This window comes from Homo sapiens, chromosome 3 (genome assembly GCF_000001405.40).
Source record: "Homo sapiens chromosome 3, GRCh38.p14 Primary Assembly".
NCBI lineage: Eukaryota > Metazoa > Chordata > Mammalia > Primates > Hominidae > Homo > Homo sapiens.
The window spans coordinates 24,536,931-24,558,276 of record NC_000003.12 but is presented as its reverse complement, the minus strand read 5'-3'; the positions used below and the strand labels follow the sequence as shown (position 1 = coordinate 24,558,276).

Below are 21,346 nucleotides of genomic sequence, written 5' to 3'. Positions count from 1 at the left end.
TCTCTACTAAAAATACAATTAAATAAATAAATAAATAAATAAATAAATAAGCTGGGCAAGCCCAGCTACTCAGGAGGCTGAGGCAGGAGAATCACTTGTACATGGGAGGCAGAGGTTGCAGTGAGCCAAGATCATGCCAATACACTCCAACCTGGGCAACAGGGCAAGACTATCTCAAAATAATAAAAATAAATAAATAAATAAGTATTTAAGTTCAGTATCATAGGCTCCTGTTGCTAAGAATTCATTCACAAGTTAGGATGTGTTCCCATCTGTTTTCTTCACTCCCTAGGTCATTTTGAGGCACCCAGGAGAAAAAGTTGAGTCTGTTAAGGACCTTAATGATTTCTGGTGGGTAGCAATTTTTAACATTATCATGTGTTTTTCAGTGATAGGAGTGTATAGCAAGGAAATTAAGCCAGAAATAGTGACTTCCACTCTAGAAGTTTGCTAGTGTAAAAGTGGGAGATAAATGAAGAACTCAAAGAAGTAAACATAGTCATAAAAACATATTATTTAAATTTGTTGGAGAAGCAAAATTTGGGCTTGATTCAGGTTTAGAGCAGGGTTCTTCTACCATGGAACTACTGACATTTGAGCTGGATAATTCTTCGTTAGGAGGACCTTCCCCATGCAGATGTTGAACAGCATCCCTGGTCCCCAACTAACAGAGGACAGTAGCACCTCCCCATACCAGCTGTGACAACCAAAAGTATCTGTAGACATTGCCAAATATTGTCTAAGAGGTAAAGTCACCTCCAATTGAGAACTACTGGCTTACAGAAAGAAAGATTTCCTTAAAGAAATAAGTGAGTTCAAGAAATTGACCTTGGAAAAAAGGTCAATGATGGGGCAGGATTGCAAAAAAGTAGATGGGATCAAAGGCACCTATGTGGGAACTTATTTTGGAGGGGAAAAAGGGGCAATTATAGAAGGGAAAGAATGGAAGCAGAGGTGAAGAGATTTTGAGAAAGACAAGAGGCAGGTTGACAAATTGCCTTATTTTAGAAAAGTACAGAGGGGACCCAAGTGGAAATTAGGAGTTGAAATTGGAAAATGTCAATAGCCCATGCTATAAGAGGGAAGTGAACAAAGTGTCAAATGAATCGTGGCTTTATGAGAACACTGAGGCTCTATGTACAGAAGAATTCAATCAGAAAGTTCATATGGCTTCCTTCTGGAATACTCAGCCAATCAAAATTACTATGTGACTTCCTCCAGGAGAATTCAGTCTCCAGAAGTGACAGCTGAAGGAACAGATTTTGGTGTTCACCAAAAGTTGGGAATCAGCAAAGCCCACAAGCTAGAAAGTCAAAGGAGAAATTATTTCTGTGATGCTATCAAGAACATTAATTATAATGATTTACAAAAAAAGTAGCAAGGCTCTGGTAGATGCTAGAGGATTTGGGAATAAGAGAGGGAAGGGATTTTTGGTTTGTTTGCTTTCCTAGGTCAACAAATCTTTATTAAAACCTGCAGTTACTAGGAGGAGGCCATGATGCTGGATGCACTTTCTTTTGGTTTTTTTTTTTTTTTGAGAAGGAGTCTCGCTCTGTCACCAGGCTGGAGTGCACTGGCCCGATCTCGGCTCACTGCAACCTCCGCCTTCCGGGTTCAAGTGATTCTCCTGCCTCAGCCTCCCGAGTAGCTGGAATTACAGGCAAGTGCCAGCACGCCCAGCTAACTTTTGTATTTTTCAGTGGATACAGGGTTTCACCATGTTGGCCAGGATGGTCTCAATCTTTTGACCTTGTGATCCACCCGCCTCAGCCTCCCAAAGTGCTGGGATTACAGGTGTGAGCCACCGCACCCAGCCAGGATGCACTTTCAAAGTCAATCTTCTCCACAATGTTCTTGGGCTTCATGCTTTCTTCTTGGCTACAGATGAAGATCTGCCCTGACTCATCGGTGCTTCAGCCATATTTTCTCATCCATATCTTCAGCTGGCTGGCTGTCAAATCCCCGAGCATCTCAGCCAGCAGCCAGCAGTAAATATGCCGGCTGAGTGATATCCATGACATGGGAGACAAATTTTCTAACAGCCTTCAAAGCCAGTTATACTTTCCAAAAGGGTCATGTTTTCATCCAGGGCTTGCCAGAAGGCCTGGAAGTGTCAAGTCTCCAGCAGATCTCCCAGGTACAAAATCTGTTGGATCAGCTGCTTTTCTTGATGCGCTTGGATGACCATGTGCTTGCACAGGGTGAAGCTGGTGTGGCATGGGTTGGTAAAGGCCTTCAGCGGGATCTGGGTGGTGACCGTGGTCTGAAAGAAGGCTGGGTTGAACTAGTACAGCTTCAGGACAGTCAAGCTGGCTTCTAGATCACAGGCATTCTCCTTGGCCTGTATCTCCACATAGCTCCCCAGGGAGGCCAGGTTCTCAGAATTATACCTGTGGATATTGTTGAGCAACTTGCCCACATTCACTCTCAACTACTAAAACATCACTATGACTATGGTCACCTTCCACAACCAGTGCTGGAACAGGGAAGTTTTTTAATGAGAGAGAACAGGTTTTGTAAGAGTGACAATGGAGAGATGAATGGAAGTAGTGGTTCAAGAGCAGAGTTTCAAACCCAGACGTCTTCACTTACCAGGTGCAATAAAGAGCCTAGAAAGGTTGTTGGAAAGTAAGGAAGGTGACAGAATTATAGATTTAACATATTGAAAAGGTAATAAACATGTATACTAAAATAACCAAAGAAAATGTTAAGAAAAGATGTATAGAAAAATACAAATGATGTTAATAAAAATAAGGCCCTTAAACTAAAAAAAAACTTTTAAACTTTTACAGTGTTAACTATGTTGACTTTTAAAAGAAAGAACTTTATAATCCATCATCTGTATCCAAAAATACTAAATCAAAATGTTCTATAAAGTGCCCACAAAACAAACTACTCAAACTTTAAATATGCTTAACAATTTTTCTTCAAATTTGGCTTCCTTTTCATTTCTCATTAGGAGCCGAAATCCTGCCAATGTTGAAATGTATAGTTTTACCTATTTTTAGTTAAATTAAAGTTTAAATACATTTTCATGATTTTTTTCTTTATGTTCCCATGTAAAAAGATCTTGGGCCACCTATTCAAGGTTCTCCTAAACAGGTTAGAATTTTCTTCAAACAAGAAAAAGTTAACCTCACTGCCCTTCTTTGGTTAATGGAAGAATTAATTTTTTACATATTTCTGATTCCTTTTATCATCAAGATGGTACAGTGTGGGGAAAATAGCATTTAAATTACTTCTATAAACTCATTTCTTTACATTTAAGTTAAATTACTTTGTCTTTTAACTACTTCTTATGCGGCATTTTAAGGCAAATTCAGGTAAGACATAGCTATATAGTAGAGGAAAGGGCAGACCTCTAAAACTAGGCAGGTAGGAAGGAGCTGGTATGTTATTTCTGTTTTAACCATGTCTATAAATGACCACTAAATCAGGATTTCTCACCCTGATAATTTCCAATTTTTACTTTCTACAGTTTATGCTACAAAAACAAAATCTATTGAATATGCTTTTTTAAGCTACACATTCTCCTCTCCTTATTCTGATTCTTTGTTTTACCTTTCTATCAATGTCACACCTTAAGACTCACCACGTTAATGATAAAGTCTTTTGGAGTATTTTCCATTTTCTCAATTTTTATAAATACCAATCAGTCACTAATGAGTTAGAAGTCATTGTGAATTAATTCAAACTATTGATATAGCCAAAGTATAGAAACAAAAGCAAATCATCTAAACTGACTCACAGCGTTTACTAAAGCTAAACAAATGCTTATAATGCAGAGATTTCACTTAAAGGTATATATTCATGATAAATGAGTATCTATGTCCACAAAAACCCATGTTCAAAACTGTTCATATCAGCATTATTCAGCATGTCTGAAAACTGGGAAGAATCTAAATGTTCCTTAATAGGAAAAAAGATAATGGAATATTGTGCTGAAATAAAAAGAACTAATTATAAACAAATTTAATAATGTGACTGGATACAAGGTAAATGCTTTTAAAAATCAATAGTACTTTCAAATAATAGCAATGAACAATCCTAAAATGAAAACTAAGAAAACAATCCCATTTGAAATAACAGCACAAGGAGTAAAAATACCAAGGTATAAATTTAACAAAAGAAATGCAAGGTATATATAGTGAAAACTATTAAACATTATTAAAGGAAATGAAATACAACCCAAATAAGTGGAAAGACAGCCCATATTCACAGATCAGAAGACTTAACATTGTTAAGAAGTAAATACTCCCAAAATTGATCTGCAGATTCAATGCAAACCCTGTTAAAGTTCTAGCTGCCCATTTTTGAAAACATTGACAGTTTGATGTTATCATTCATATGGAAGTAAGGGACCCAGAATAGCTAAAACTATCTCAAAAAAGAACAAAGTTGAAGAACGTGCATTTCTTGATTTCAAAACCTACTACAAAGCTATAGTAATCAAGACAATGTTGTACTGGCATTAAAAAAAAGATATAAAAATCAATGGAGTAGAATTGAGAAGTCAGAGATAAACCTTCATATTTTATGGTCAATTGATTTTCAATAAGGGTGCCATGATAATTCAATGGGAAAAAATTATCTTTCCAGTAATTGTTGTCTGTAAATTTTGTTATCTACATGCAAAAGAAGATTTGGACCTCTACTTCATGCCTTACACCAAAGCTAACTCAAAACAGATCATATACATAAATGTAATACCTAAAACTATAAGACTCCTAGAAGAAAATATCAGAGTAAATCTTTGTGATCTTGGTAAAGATTTAAATGAACATTTCTTCAAAGAAGCTATACAAATTGGCAATAATAAACACATGGAAGAATGCTCAACATCATTAGTCATTAGGGAACTATAAATCAAAATCCAATGAGCTATCACTTCATACCCACTAGCATGGCTATAGCCAAATAAGATGGACAATAGCTAGTATTGGTGAGGATTCGGAGAAGTTGAAGCCCTCGTAAATTGCTACTGTGAATGTACAATGGTGAAATCACTGTAGAAAACAGTTTGGCAGTTACTAAAAATGTTAAACATAGATAATGACCCATCAGTTGCACTTCTAGGTATACAGCCTACAAAATTAGAATATATTTCCACACAAAAGTTTCTGCAAGAATGTGCATAGCAACATAATTTATAATAGCCAAAAGGGAGAAATGACTCAAATGTCCATCAACTGATGACTGCATAAATAAAACATGATATATTCATAAAATGGAATATTATTCAGCAATAAAAAAGAATGAAATACTGATGCATGCTACAAAAAGGATAAACCTTCAAAGCATTATGCTAAGTGAAAGAAGCCAGTCACAAAGGACCACATATTATGATTCAATTTATGTGAAATATCCAGAACAGGCAAGTCCATATAGATACAGAAAGTAGGTTAGTGGTTACCTGGAGCTAGGGCATATTTGAAGGTCAGGGGGCATATAGGCAGGAATGGGGAGCCACTGCTAATTTGATAATTTGAGATTTATTTGGGGGTTTAAAAACCTTTAAAAATTATATTTTGGTGATAATTGCACAACTGAATATACTAGAAATTGCTGAACTGTGTACTTTATATGTGTGAATTTTATGGTATCTGAAATAGGTGTTAATAAAGCTGCTTTAAAAAAAAAAAAGAACCAGCTACTGAAACATACAGCATCATGATGATATGATAGCTGCCTTAAAGTTGTCTCAGAAGAAAATGCATATGAAAGTATTTGATAAGTTGCAAATATTAGTATATTTATTATAACTACATGGAGAATGCAAAATTCACATATTTTTCAAGTGACTATATTTGGGATTTTCTATTTTTTTTTTTTAAGATAGGGTCTCACTCTGCCATCCAGGCTGGAGTGCAGTGGTGCATTCATGGTTCACAGCAGCCTTGAATCCTCTCACCTCAGCCTGGCAAGTAGCTAGGACCACAGGCATGTGCCACCATGCCTGGCTAAATTTTTTAATTTTTATTTTGTAGAGATGAAGACTCCCTATTTTGCCCAGGCTGGTCTTGAACTCCTGGGCTCAAGCAATCCGCCTACCTCAGCCTCCCAAAGTGCTGGGATTACAAGCGTGAGCCACTGTGCCTGGCTTCAAATTTTTCTAATTTAGATATCTGGCATAATAACTCTTACAAAATTATGCTTTGTGCTAATGTAGTTGGACTACAGGAAGGATGTGGAAGAAATAGTCAAGTGGAACTGGTGGTTGTGTTTTTTGTAACAATATTTTTTGGTACATTTCCCAACAAAGATCTCCTTATGAAGATCCACAGGAGAACTTTCTGTATTTTTATATCACTAAATCTCTGGCGATCTTTTTAATTCATGGAAACTGATTATGTTTTCATTTTTAAGATGCCTGTGAAAAACACAGAAAAATGTGTCATCTTGGCAAGGAATAGGGCTTCAGGACATGCATGTTGTACACTGTGGTCACTCAGCTTTATTCTATTTTCCTACTCATATTCTCACTCTGAATCAGTTCTCAGACTGACTTTGACTTGTTTTGACACATTATATATCTTGAAAATCTGTTTTGAATCATCTTTAGAAAGAGATGCTATAATGAACAAACAATAGCAACAACAAAGCAACATAGTTAAATCATTATCCAATTTGCCACTCCTATCTACTACGGAAGTCAAGAACAAGAACACAGACAGCAATAACATAATAAGAAATACCCATATGTATAAACAGAGGGACCCTGTTCCATGGGAATCACTGAACGTGCTTTTGTGGTGCCCTTTATGCTCACTTTAATACCAGAAGTCTACTGACTAGAATAGAATCCTCAGAGGGACAGGGATTTGGGTCTATTTTGTTTACTTCTCCAATTCCAGCAGCAGGAACAGTGCCTACCTCAAGGTAAGTACTTAATTAAGATTTGTTGAAATAATTAGCACTGCATGTAAAATGTAGCTTTTACTTCCTCGGGGCCATGGCTACAATTATACCAAAATTCTTTCAAACTACCATGAAAATGTAAGGTATACATGAGTGGTATATAACAGGCAGAATTAAGTGAAAAGTACCTCACTGATATTGACCAAACCAGTTAATATTTTGGCTTTCTTACTGGAGTTGTTTTAAATAGAGGTAACAAAATTGTCTAGTCCAAAATGGAATTTTTCCATCTAAAACACTATTACTCTCAACTCTACAAATAAGATGCTTAATTATTTTTCCTTATGTAAGTGTAATGCATTACTATAAGAAAACATGTAACTTAATTTTCTATAAAATGTCATTCCTTTAAATCAGCCAGTGATCTTGATATTTCAATTTCTCATGAAATATCCATTTGGTATTTCATGAAAAAGATGGAAAGGAAGCTTTTTAAAAAGACATACAAGGATGGGAACACAGAGGAAGAGAGAATAGCAATAAACATACTGTAAGCTAGAAAGTGGGCAGATGAGCAAATACCAATTCAGCAAGCCTAAATCCTGAGTCAGCAACAGCAAACACTGAAAACCAAACGTGTTGCATGCCACAGAACTCTCAAAGGACTCAGAGATGAGCAGCAACAGGTGCTTTTGGAAGAGGGTGAAGGAATAGGGACTTAAAAGAAAAATGATTGGGTAAAAGCACTGTAAGAAGCAGTTACTTTCTCAAAACCTCTTTACTATCCCATGCTGCTCAGCAAAAGCTCTTCCTTCACCCTAGCAAAAGACTGTAAGTTTATTTTCTGGAGAGGGCAAATGGAAGGACTTTGTACAGGGAATTACAAGCATAGTTGAGAATATAATTTTTGAACCAAAAATGGGCATGAACTGAACATATGCTTACTGGATGCTGAAATTCCCCATCTTCAGGACACTGGGCAGCCAGACCTTTACCCTGCAGGGAGACAACTGGAAAACCCTTCTCAGAGGAATCTAACGAGCCCATGAGTAAATATATAAAATACTAACATTGGTTTGTCCCAACACACAACCTAGCTGACTATCCTAAACTGAAACTAAATGTCAACTGGCCCCACTCTCATACCAAGAGTTTATGGTTAGCTTTTAGTGTATAAGCAAGCAATTGATTTTTGTATATTTACTTTATAGTCTGTGACCTTCCTAAGTTAGCTCAACAATTGTGAATAGTGTTGTTTGTAGATTTGTTAGAATACTATACATAATCAATCATGTCATCTGTGACTAGATGTTAGAATACTCTACATAATCAATCATGTCATCTGCGACTAGACTTTATTTTCTTTCTTGCCTAATTGCAAAGGCTAGGTTCTTCAAAACTACATTAAACATAAGTAGTGAGAGTCTGCATCCTTGTTTTGTTCCTGACCTTAGAGAATAAGTACTCTATCTTTCAACATTAAATATGATGTTAGCTGTGTATTTTTCATATATGGACTTTTCCAGATTAAGGAAATTCCTTTTGTTTCTAATTTGATGAAATGTTTTATCATAAATGGATATTGAATTTTTTCAAACTCTTTTTACGTCTATTGAAATGATAATTGTTTCTCCTTTGTTAATATGGTGAATTAGTTGATTGATTCTTGAATGTTAAATCAGCTTTGCATTCCTAGAACTTATTTGCTAACATTTAATTAAGAATCTTTGGGTCTATGTTCATGAGCATTGATGTGTATGCATGTATATATACATTTATATCTTTTTTTAAGTGTATATTTTTAATGCTTCTGTCTGGCCTTGGTATCAGGGTGTTATTGATTTCATGAAATGAGTTGAATAGGGCTGTCATCCTCCACTTTCTGAAAGATTTTGTGTAAAATTGGTATTATTTCTTTTTTAAATGCTAAATAGATTTCACCAATTAAGCCACGTGGGCCTGTTTCCCAATTAGCTTTTTGGTCTTCCACTCTTAAATACAGACATATAGACATCCAAGGATTGACCCAATCTGAACATTAGAATCAACTGGTAAGCCATGAAGAAATGTGTCCCAATAGCAGAGGTCTGGGTTTACTTGCCTGTTGTGGCCTACACATCAGTATTTTTTTAAAGCTCCCTAGGTGATTCTGATCATGCCTAGTGCTAAAAACCTTCCCTATAACATGGAAGCTAGAGACAAAAACAATCAGAAAAGAGTAAACTAAAAAAAAAACAGAGACTGTGCAAGGAAATGACAACTCTAAAGAAGTTATTGCTGATATCATCAGAGACATGAGAGAAGATAGTGACACCATGAAAAAAAGAACAAGATGCCATAGCAAAGACCATCCAGAGACATCAAGAACTGCATGTATTGCTTTCAAAGATGTGATACCATGTAGAGCTTAGGTTTTAGACTCAGATGTTAAGCAGAATTGATTTCAAGTACTGGATCTCCACATTTTACTGACTTTGGGACCTTGAGCTAGTTACTTAAGTTCTTTGAGACTCTGTTTCCCTAGCTACAAAACAGCAATAGTGATAGTATCCACCTCTTGGGGTTGCTGTGAGTAATAAAAGGAATAATACTTATAAAGTAGTTGGGAGAGTGGTGGCACAATGAATTAATAATATGTAGTAGTCACTCTAGTTTAAACTTCTGTTGATTGTTACTTGTTATTTTGAGTCAAGTAGGACCAATGCCTTTGGCAGCACTAAATTAAATAAGCAATCTAACTAGTGAATTACCATCCAAATTTAAAAAGCAAACAATACATTAGTCCATGGAGAAGAGTAGAATGAGGGGAAAGTGTGTAAAATAAAGTTATTTTGATGAAGTGATTATTCATTTCTAAAACGTGCCCTCATTTACCAAAATTAGCTTCGAAGCTACTTGCTCATATTTCCTTGGTATTTGGCACAAGCTCAAATGTGCCACAGAACCCTGGACACTCAACAGCATCTGTGCAGCAAATCATAGAACAGACTAAAAGAGTGGCTCTATGAGATCACTCATTAAATATTTTCTTAAGCTTTAATCTAGTTTCATTTTCAGTATTCTCTCAGTGACATTTATAGTTTAGAATAAAATAAATAACAATTAAATGTACAATTCTCTACTTCTGCTGAAGATATTGTTCAGTCTTCTCAAAGCTAGAAGGAAGATGAAAAGAATGCCTGAAAGACACATTGTTTGGTCCACATCCTTAACAGATGTTAATTGGCATTTTCATTATCATGATCATTATGTTTCAGGTTAGGACTAGCTAATGATGAACTTGAAATTTCCCACATACAATGTGAGAATGTTAGTTAGCCTGGGATACTTCTATATTCCCTAACCTCAAAACATCCACTTAGAATAGCTAATTGAGATATGACATTTATTTATTTTCATATATGTATCTATATATGTATCTATTTTTGTTGATTATAGTGTTCATTAGTACTAAAGAATGCAGTTTGTGGACAGATCATTTGGTCTATCCACATTCATTACCTACAATGTTTTGCTTTATAGGCCAGCCAAAAATACGAACATAACTATTGTTCAAGAATTATTTAGAGTAAGAAAACAGGAAGATTCTTAAGTTTGACTTAAATGACAAAATGCCCTTCCCTGGGTATTTTTATCTCTTTGATTATTGGAGATGAGAATAACATCCTCTGAGTTAGGACCAAGTCCCATCAGTAACATGATCTCACTTACAATCTTCTTTGTCAAAAGAACATATATTGCCTTTTGTCACTCCTGGAGGCTGTTAGACAAGGTGAACATCAAAAAAGTTCCATAACCCTCAGAAAGAGCCTAAAAATTATGTTTCTTACTTTCAATAAGCTTCATTTGGAATTTTCGGACAAAAAATTAATAGCACTGAGATGTGTTCCAGAATCATCTTTTCTGGAAATTGGCAATAAAATAAAATATCATAATTCCTCAGTCTGCAAAATACTCACAGGAAATGGCCTTTTTCATGCCCTGTGAGCCTGGAAGAATATGTAAAACCTAGAACTTGTCTGTTCCAAACAGTCTCTACTGACAATCAATTAAAACCACCCCTCATAAAAAGATATAAAGTTTCAGTTAGTGTCATTTGCAGAAGGTAGCACCACTTAAGCAATAATATCTTTAAAATGGGAAAAAGTAATCAGTGAGGTTACACACCAGGCATCTGGGCAACTGCAGGCAATCTTCTTTATCTTTGTATTCTTGGGAGCATCTAGCCTAGTTAGAAAAAGAAGAAAATGACACCAGAAAAATAACAATCATTTTAACATTAGGTAAAGGGACTGAAACTATTTCTTTTTAGGGCTATTCAAATGAAAAATACATTCTCACACCAAGAACCTTAGTTTCAAGATTCCATTTCTACCTAGATGTCTCTTGAATGATGCTTAGATTCCTCTTTGTATAGAGGGGGATTGTTAACCTTTAGATGAAATAATCCTATTAATGCACCTCGTCAGATCTCTGTGGGCCAAACAGTTTCAGCCAGGGCTTCCAGAATATACATATGCCCACCAAGAATTGTCCAGAGTCTAAATCACCCAAAGAACTAGTATCCTATTGAGACTTTCATCCTGGAAAAGTTCAGAGGCCACTCTTTTTACTATATATTGGAAAATTAGGCTGAATGTGTACAAAAGTATATGAATATTTTTGTCTCTTCTGCTCCTATAGTGCTTTATTTATTTTTTCTGTACTTTCATTTTCTAAGACAATCTCTGAAAGAGATTTTACTGAGATTAATCCATAAGATGGCGGAACTGATGATCACAAAACACTGCCATATAGATTCCCTCCCAAGTAGAGAAAGAAGACCAAATTTACAATTAGAACAGTACCCTTTGCCTTGATTGCTTCTCTCACTGATGGCATTTTTCCTGAAAAACTGTTAAGTAGCCGACCTGACTGTTCACAATGTGGCTCCCGAATGTCCATCTTCTTCCAGTTGCCAAGAAGAAAAATCTTAGAAAATTCAGAAAGCATTTGTTGCTTTAAATACTGGTGGTTTTGTGAAGTAGATGTAATAATTATGTAAACTCATTCTTAATAAGTGGTTCGCTTAGATAATTATTTCCTGTTTTGCTCTACAAATAAATGGCAACTGAATTTCATGTGGGTATGATCAATAATGCAGCTTCCTTATTAAGTTAAATTGCATTCTAATTCCTCCACATTTGCCATTCATTGATACCACTGTGACTCACCAAAATGACAAATCGATTTCCAAAAATGTCCTTGTAGAGAGAGGAGCAAATATTTATTTTTAGAGAAGCCAGAAGGGCCACACTCTTGCAAAAAGAGGTCAGCTGGCCTGAAAAAGCGCCAACTTCAGTTGTATAATGAAAACTGACCCAGGCTCTGAAATCTCACTTGGAGGCTTCCAACAAGATTTCATCACTACTCGGACTATGGTATTTATATGGGATGGTCTAGTTTAATAAGCTGTTTCACCAGCTTCTTAACTTTCACTGCAAGTATTTCTCCAGAAGCCAAGCCCTCCAATCTCACTCCTTTTGTGGGTTTGAAGTATTAATTATTGTTTAGATTCTACAAAAACAAGTAGAATGAGCTGTAAGCTTCTATGTCTGTTGGTTCCTAAATTGCTTGGCCATAATTCTATTTTGTTATCGTTGTTTACTTCATTGTTGTTAACTCTACAGGAAGTTCAACATTTTAGGGAGTTGAAATAACCTATAGATCTTCCACAAGCCCTAATTCTTTAAAGGGCTAGTTGTCTCATCTTATAAAATATGCTACTAGTTCAGGTTTAAAATCAATAACAAAAGAGAAAAATGTATTAAGTCACATGCATGAACAAAATGTGGTTCAAATAATAATTTAAGTCAGTTTTAAAAAGTGACTTTTATGTCAAATTATTTTTGCCACTAATTTTTCTAAAGTTTTTATATCAAATATGTATTATTTTTATTTAAAAAATAGTAACAAGAAATAGTTATCATATTTTACCAACTGGAAAAGCCAAGGTCTTACTCTAAACTTCCACTGTTATAAATATATGGTTCTTATATGATTGTAATCATTGCGCACATGCCAGGTGATTGCTATTTATTACTTAGCAAAGAGTTTTCCATGTGTCTCTAATCTACACATATTTGTCAGATTTATAGGCCGTAAAATATTTTATTGATAGAACACAATTAACTAACTCACTTGCCAACATTTAGACATTTGTCCGGACTTTTAAAATATAAACATTATGATTAGGCACTGTATTAGCTTCCTAAGGTGCCATAAAGAAGTATCACAAACTAGGATGCCTTAAAATAACATAACTATATTCTCTCTCAGTTCTTGGAGAAGTCTAAAATCAAGGTGTTGGCAGGGCCATGCTCCCTCTGAATCCTTTGAGGGAGAATCCTCCTTTGCCTCTTCCAGCATCTGTAGCCTCACACATTCCTTGGTTTTTGACAGTATCACCCCAGTCTTCATCTCATATGGCCATCATCCCCCATGTCTCTTTGCTTTTTATAAGAACACCAATCATGATGTGTTAAAGTCCCACCTGACTCTAGTATGACTCCAACTTAACTAATTACATATGTAACAACCCAATTTCCAGATAAGTTCGCATTCTGAGGTTTCAGAAAGCACAAGAAATTTAGGGGGAAACTACCTAAACTTGTACATATACCCTGAACCATCATTTATAGATATGCTAACATTCTCAGTTTTCATGGGACAAGAAAATAAAATGCTCCACATTTTCAAAATGCATATTTCCAAAAATAAATATGTATTTTATTTGTCTTAGCTCTCCAATCTGTAATTTCTGTAAGAAAATGAATTCTGTTGTTCATATGGTTTTTAAAATCCCAATTCTCCCACAGACATAAAATGCAGCTACTATCCCCTTTATATTTAAAAGAATAAAAATATTTTATAGCAATCATAAATTCAGTTTTATGTCCTCTAATCAATGTTCCTTCTTCCCAGAGACAACAAATTTCCCCACAGATTCCTATCTATGACAGGAGTTTGTGATGGAATAAATAGCTTTCTATTCCTCAAAGCCTGCAAAGGGGATTCAACATCCCCAAAATAAGGGGAGCCTACATACAGGAAAAAGTACAATTTGTATCTCATCCTTCACCATCATCAACATTTAACAAATAGTTATTGAGATTCAGAAACCCCAATGTACTCTTGACAGGCAGTGGAATACTCTAAATGTAAAAATAAGTCATATGTCTCTTCAATGTAGAAAGAGTCTGAGAAGCCACGGTGTCAAAGAGCATCAGCTTTGCAAATTTCATATGAAAGAGAGGGGTCTTACACATATGTTTCCTTCAATCCTCTTTCTAAAAAAACAGTAGACGCTGAATACCATCACCCCTTCTACTTGATTCATCTTCCATCAGCACTTCACAATATGTATTCAAGGGTCCTAAAACAACACAGGACACTGTGAAGGGTAAGGAAGAGTGTGTGAGAGGAAAGGAAGAGTGCGTGAAAGTTGTCTGAATCAAAACGGAGTCACAAATGTTAAGAAAACTCTGACAAATAGAGCCAGTGAAGGCCACAAAGAGAAGGTCCTCATGCTTGTATGCCTGATAACAAAAACTATCATAAAGACTGCAAAGACTACAATCTTGCACAAAGGCCATTGCAACCTAACACAAAAAAGACTTCTACAAGAACATCTGTCCAGTAACTGCCTGTCCAACCTCAGACTGGCATCACCCTTGATATTGATCTTTGTAGCCAAGGCTAATTATTATTTTTAAAAATATGTAATCCTCCTCATTTTTTTCCTTTAGAAACCTTTGTCTTTTTTTAACTTCCAAGAATATGCACATAGTTTACTATACCCTGCATATTCCCACTGCAATGTTGTATTCCGAAATAAATATCTTTTCTTATAGAGAGCCTCTCTCTGTTATTTAGGTTGACAAGAGACACCATATTTATTCTGAAGATTGAGATCATTGGTAAAATTATTACAATTCGTTTTTGTGGCAAACTTTCTGGAATCTTAAAAGGTAAGTGCTCAGAGAGGACAATATAATGCATGGATTGATTTGACAGGAAGTAATCATGGAGGCATCGCTATTAATAGTCAGGTATCCTGAAATGATTGTTGGAGAGGCACACTTACTATCTTCAAAGGTCTTTAGAAAAAGATAAGTGCTTTTATGTAAGATGGTAGAGCTTATAAACTTTACATATTCTATACACTTACCAATCAATAACAGAAATTATTTCCAAATCTAAAGCTGAATATCACTTTCTAGTCATGTAACAACATTTTAGAGCTAGAACAGTGGGTCTCAACTTTGGTTACAGGTTTAAAAAATCCTGAATCTCAGGCCATCCTCTAGATGAACTAAATAATAATCTCTAGGGGTAGAGCCCAAACATCAGGACTTTTTAAAACTTTCCAATTGATTTCAATATGTAGTCAAGCTTAAAAAACCACTGAATTCCGTGATACTTTCCAGGTCAATAAAGGCATGAAATTTGGAGACCCACATACTGAGTTCACCTCTGTTCTCCAACTTGCTACCTATGCGATATCAAGCAAGTCCCTTAATGTCTCTGAGCCTTGTCTATAAAAAAATGTGAAAACTCTTTATTATTCGTTCTCTTACTCTCTAGTCCACAAACTACATTTTATAGATAATCTACAATATAGAAAGGTTAAGTGGCTCTTTGATAAAAAAAGAGGTTGACACTATTCATTAAACATTACTCAACCTCAAATCTAATTTTCATCTCTAACAAGTACATCTAACATATCTGTGAGTTGGAAAGAAATGTGGAAGTATATATTCAGAAATGTTAACACTGGTTATCACTGGTATAGGAATAATGGATCATTTTCTTCCCCTTTCTCCCTCTCTCCCTCCCTTCCTACTTTCTTTACTTCCCTCTGAAAGAAGGGATACAATCTAAGGATCAGGCTGCCCTGATTGCTCTAATTTCAAGCTGATGTATGAATGTCAGCCAGAAGTAAACAAGAAAACCCAGTTTTGTCACCCCCTAAAACCCCTCCATAAATCATTAGCTTGTCAGTAATCTGCCTCCACAGGTAAGACAATGTGGCTGTATTAGCAGAGAGACAAGTCTGCTCCATCTTCAGGTTCATGAACTCGCTCTACACCTTTTACATAGCTCAACTTCTTTCCCTCTGTCCTCTACTTCTCTGTGTGGCTTGAACACCTCCAGGGTTCTCCTTCAGACCATCCTCCAAGATGGAGTTGACAAGACCACATGAGGCTTCTTTCTCCTACTCACTTAATTTGCATGTGGTTATTTCATTGTAGTATCATGATCACAGTTCCCTTGCCCTTCTTGCTGCTGGTGCTGAGGCAGCCAAGATTGACACAAGTCCAAGTCAGTCAGTCTTAGGTCCTCTGCTCTTTGGTTGCCTCATAGTAGCTTTGCAGTTTCCCTCTTTTTATCTTAATTCTATTCCTTCACAAAGTCTTGGTTTTCTAATTTATCAACAATCAATATGCATTACTTGTGTAATTTGTTTAAGTGTTTTAAAATTTCATATCTAGAAGGTGACAGGATGCTTCTGTGACATTATTCACTTAGTTTACAAATATTTATTGCATATCCTCTATGGGCTGTGCAATATATGGACACCAAAAACCATAGTCCCAGACCTAATGGGTAAAACAAATGTTCAATAAACAAACACATAAATGAAAATGCAACTACTTATTATGGTAAGTAGTTGAGAGAGAATAGTGAGGTTGGGGCAAAACTTATCATGAGCAATAGAAAAGACTTCTTAGGAAGATAAAAATACTGGAATTCAGACCTTGTATATGAATATGAGCCTTAGCAAGGAAATGTTTTAGTCAGGAGAATGAAATGATGTAATTTGTACTTTCAAAAGATCACTTTAGTTTTTACATGGATTATGTTTTACTAACTGTTCAAACTGCTCAGTGTTGCAGTAATATGAAATGGACAGATATTTAAAAATCAAATTATTTTATTCAACAATATCTTGCCATTCCGTTAAACCAGAGGTCAGCAAATTGTGGTTGGGTTTGAACTGCCTGAGTCCACTTACATGCAGATTTTTTTTCAACCACACAAGGATCAAAAATACAGTATTCGGATCTGAAACCCATATATATGGAGGGCTGACTTTTTGTATCCACAGGTTCTGCAAGGCTGATTGTGGAACTTGAGTATGCTCAGATTTTGGTATAGATAGGGGTCCTAGAACCAATCCCCTGAGAATACTGAGGGACAAATATATAAACAGCAGACCAAACCTGGCCCACTGCCTGTTCTTTATAAATAAAACTTTACTGGAAAACAGCCATGTTTATGTATTGTAATGTCTACAGCTACTGTCATTCTGCAAGGGCAGGACTGAGTAGTTGTTACAGAGATCATACGACCCACAAAGCCAAAAATATTTACTATCTGGATCTTTACAGAAAGCATTTGCAAAAGCTTTTCCAGAGGCCCCAACACCAGATTTCTGCTTACATTTTGATTACGAGCTCAGGTCATGTGGCCAGCCCCAGATGCAAAGCTGGCTGGAAAAGTAAGTGCCAGACTTCTAGCCCTTATAGAAGAGGCTCATAAAGGGCTATTGAGTATTCTATTGAACGGTATCTCTCACAGGTATGAAAAATGGTGACTCTGTTCAAACCTTAACCTCTCTGACCCCCAATTTCTCTCCTGTAGAAAAGAAGGATAATGATATTTGCTTCTCATTGTTGCAAAGAGGATTAAATGTAATGAGGATATTAAATATGTTAATTACATTAACATCAAATTCCTGGCACTTAGTATGTTCAGTAACTGCATCTCTTCCTCTGAATGCCTTACAGTTCATCACTGTGCCTCTCTGCAACTTTAACTTGTCCTTGCTCATAGTAGGCACTCGTTCAGAAATGCAGAATAAAAGAACAAATGTTCGCCTTCTTCTACAGGACCAGGCCTCAGTTGTTGATGCACACTAACAGGTTTGATTGTTTAATTCTGCTTGGCTGATAAGTACAGAAGTATCTTCAAAAACAAAACTTTTGAAAGAAAATTTTGAACATAGCCCTCCTGGAGAAGAGTGAGTTAAGAGAAATTCCAGCCTTCTTTTCATTGGTGGTAAAAACAATGGCTGAGTAGGAAGAAAAGCCCGGGGACTTATATCAGATACAGACCACTCTCAGATAGACAGGGACCACCCATATACATTGCATCACCTACTCCCTTCCCAAATAAGCAGGCCATGCTTCCAAGACTTGGGTGGCCCCATTACCTGGGAGTCAGGGCAATGCCTCCATATATAGCCATGCGTTATATACAAGATGCCCGTTGAACACCAGCAATCCAGAAACAAGTGTACCCTTCTGACCAAAAAAAAAAAAAAAAAAAAAAAAAAAAGCCACAGATTCCAATACTCTGAAGAAAAGGAGGGAAGAGGGAGGGCTCAGTGATACAAGAGCTCCTGGAATCTATCTCTCAGGCATCTTTATTACTTTTGCCACTCAAAGCATGTTTCCGACAGTAAAGTGTGACACCAGAACACATCGGTTTACAAAACTGTCTTTGTAGTAAAAATATTAGTTGAGATCTGTACATTCTTGAGCTTTCATTGAGAAGCCTGGCTTTTCTCAAAATTTTGACAAATTGCTTATTATCAATGTTTGTACCTCAAATGAAGCTTATCTATATTCTATTAATCAAATGTCTTAAAAAATATCTAAATCTTTTTAGATATTTTTAGATATTTAGACAAGGTCTTCATTTAGGTCTTAGTGATGAAAAAGTATATGGTTTTAAAATATAAAAAACTCTCACAGGGAAGCATATAAGCCTAAAACTGAGTTTACTATTCATGTTTGCAAAGGGAAGATGAGTATGAGATTGCTAAACATCATTATTGAAAATACTTAATATTTTGATACACATATAATTTTTTCAATGTTTTCCAGTGAATGTGATTCCATTATTTTGAAATAAAAGAATGTTACAAGTATCCTATATGCTTCATGTCCCCGATTTCCTAGAAATAAGATAGTAGTACAAGCATAATGTGTTCACAATAATTATACAGGGCTATAGAATAACTTTATCTTTTTGGAAAAATAGCATCTGAAACTTACAAGTTTTACCTACAAGGTCACCTACAAAACATAAGTAGTATCCTTCAGAAAATATTTGTTGGTGTTTGTGAAGTTCTGAAAATACTGTAGGGCAGGATTGGCCTTTTCCCAATTGTCAAATCAAACCAAGGACTTCCAGGCCCTAAGCAAGGTCAGTGACCAAGGCAGCACTTCCCAGAGTGACATTCATGACAACTTCCAAAGGCAGGGCACTTTCCGCATGAGAGGCCAAGATAAAGCCTACCACTTTACAAGGAACTGGCTGGTGAACCTTGGCACAGTTGCTGGAGAACTTGGCTCTCCAAGAACAAAACAGCTGTGCCTCTTTTTGTTTTCCCTTCTCAATAAGGAGAGTAAAATCTCAACTTCAGGTTATGCGGATAATGTTCCATATATTTTGGAAGAGTTAATATAACTTTTCCATTGTACTGCTTAGAAGATAGAGGGAAACAGAAATAAAGGGTGCACCAGTAAATAGACTGCTTATAATCAGAATTCTACAAAGCCCAGAAATAACTGTTTCCCTGATATTTTGGACCAGTATGGGGACCTTTTTAGATCTTGAAGAAAAAAAAATGTGTTCCTGAGTTATTCTTGTCATCTTACTGATTCAGCTGGATCCAGTGTAAAAAATGAAATAAATTACTTTCTAATTGGCATTTAGGGTCGCCAAAAAAATCCACAGCAACAGAAAGCCAGTCTACTTTAGCCAAGAACGTAGGGTCTTCCCCTTGCTCTACAATTTTCCCCCTTTATAAAAATCCCTCCCTCCACCTAATGCTGCTTAAGTTACACTTACATCTCTTTTTCCCTTCACTTATTTTGAAAACCTCTCCCCCTCTCCCACCAACTCACTTACTGACTCATGGTTTGGTTCCACACTGTTCTCTTAATACTACTCTCTCAAAAGATGCCAATGATCTGGTAACCCTAGAAGATCTCCATGCAGCATTTCACCCTAAGGACCATCTCCTCTTTCTGGAAGTCCTCTTCTTTCCTGGCTCAAGTCAGTGTCGTCTCACTTTTCTCCCAGCATCTCTGATCATTTCCCCTTGGTGTTGGGACTTGGGCTCCTAGTCACATCTTTCTTAGGTTTATTTACTCACACATACCACATGTAACTATTGAATGGGATGTATGTGCTTGGCTCTGACCTTGGGTTCTAACTTCAGCTCCACTTTCTCTCTTATCTCTACAAGTTCTCCTTGTGTTATTTCATCCAGCCTCAAGGCTTTATTTATCAACCCTGCTCACTCTCTCCTTTTTTGGCCATTCCCTTAATATATATTTTTACCTTTTTTTTTCCTGGTCTTTTATAATATTTCCCTAAATCATCTTCCTGCTGCCAGTTTTACTATTAATAACTACTATTCATCCTATAAAAACTATGCCCCACCTCCCTCATTCTCTTTCTTTCCTTGCTTTATGTCTCTCATATTTACTACAAAATGTTTGTTTCAAAAATTGCCCAAATTTAGAAAACTACGGAGAAGAGAAAAATCGCAGGTAAGCTCATATGCGAAGTCAGCCATTTTACCTTTAGTGGGCTTTCTGCCAGAATTTTTTCAGATATAGGTTTTTTAAGAAGTGAGCTTTTTTAGCCTTCAAAGATCAGATAAGTCCAGTCTATTTAAACTGTTCCAAAACATAAAAGAAACCTTTCAATTACCTTTTTTGAAGATAGAAAAATATTGATAAGAAACCTGACATAGATATCTCACCAAAAAGAAACATTAGGTCAATGTCCCTTGCAGAAATTATGCAAAAATACTAAATATAGTATGAACAAATATAATAAAAATAAAATAAAAGTGGGGAAAAAGGGTAAGAATGATTCAATATTAAGAATTTTATTTGTTTAAAATAACACATTAAGCCAGGCACAGTTGTTCATACCTATAATTCCAGCTACTCAGGAAGCTGAGGTAGAATGATCACTTGAGGCTAGTTTATGGCTGCAGTGAGCTATGATCACAACAGTGCACTATAGCCTGGGCAAGAGAGTATGATCCGGTCTCTAAATAAATAAATAAAATAGCATATTAATAAGACAACAAATTCCAATGAGTGCTTTAAGTGATGTCAAATAAGACGTTTAATAAAATTGAACTCTAAGCAAAATAGAAGTGGATGATACTTTTTTGACACACTAATAGTCATCTCAGCATCATCATGTTTGATACAGAAAAATGAGGACACTTTCCTTTGATGTCAGGAAGAAGAAAAGAAATTCCAGTTTCCTATTGCTCACAAAGTACTAAACAATGCATTCAGACAAAGTATAACTTGTAGTCATTTGCAGAGGATATACCAGTATGCATAAAAAATTAAGGATCATCAACAGAAGAAAGAAACCTAGAAACAATGAGATTTTTTTCAGTCAT

At 35.9% G+C, this 21,346-nt stretch overlaps 1 pseudogene; it reads right to left on the bottom strand.

Moving 5' to 3' along the window:
- Window positions 1,814-2,481, bottom strand: EIF3KP2 (eukaryotic translation initiation factor 3 subunit K pseudogene 2; annotated as a pseudogene).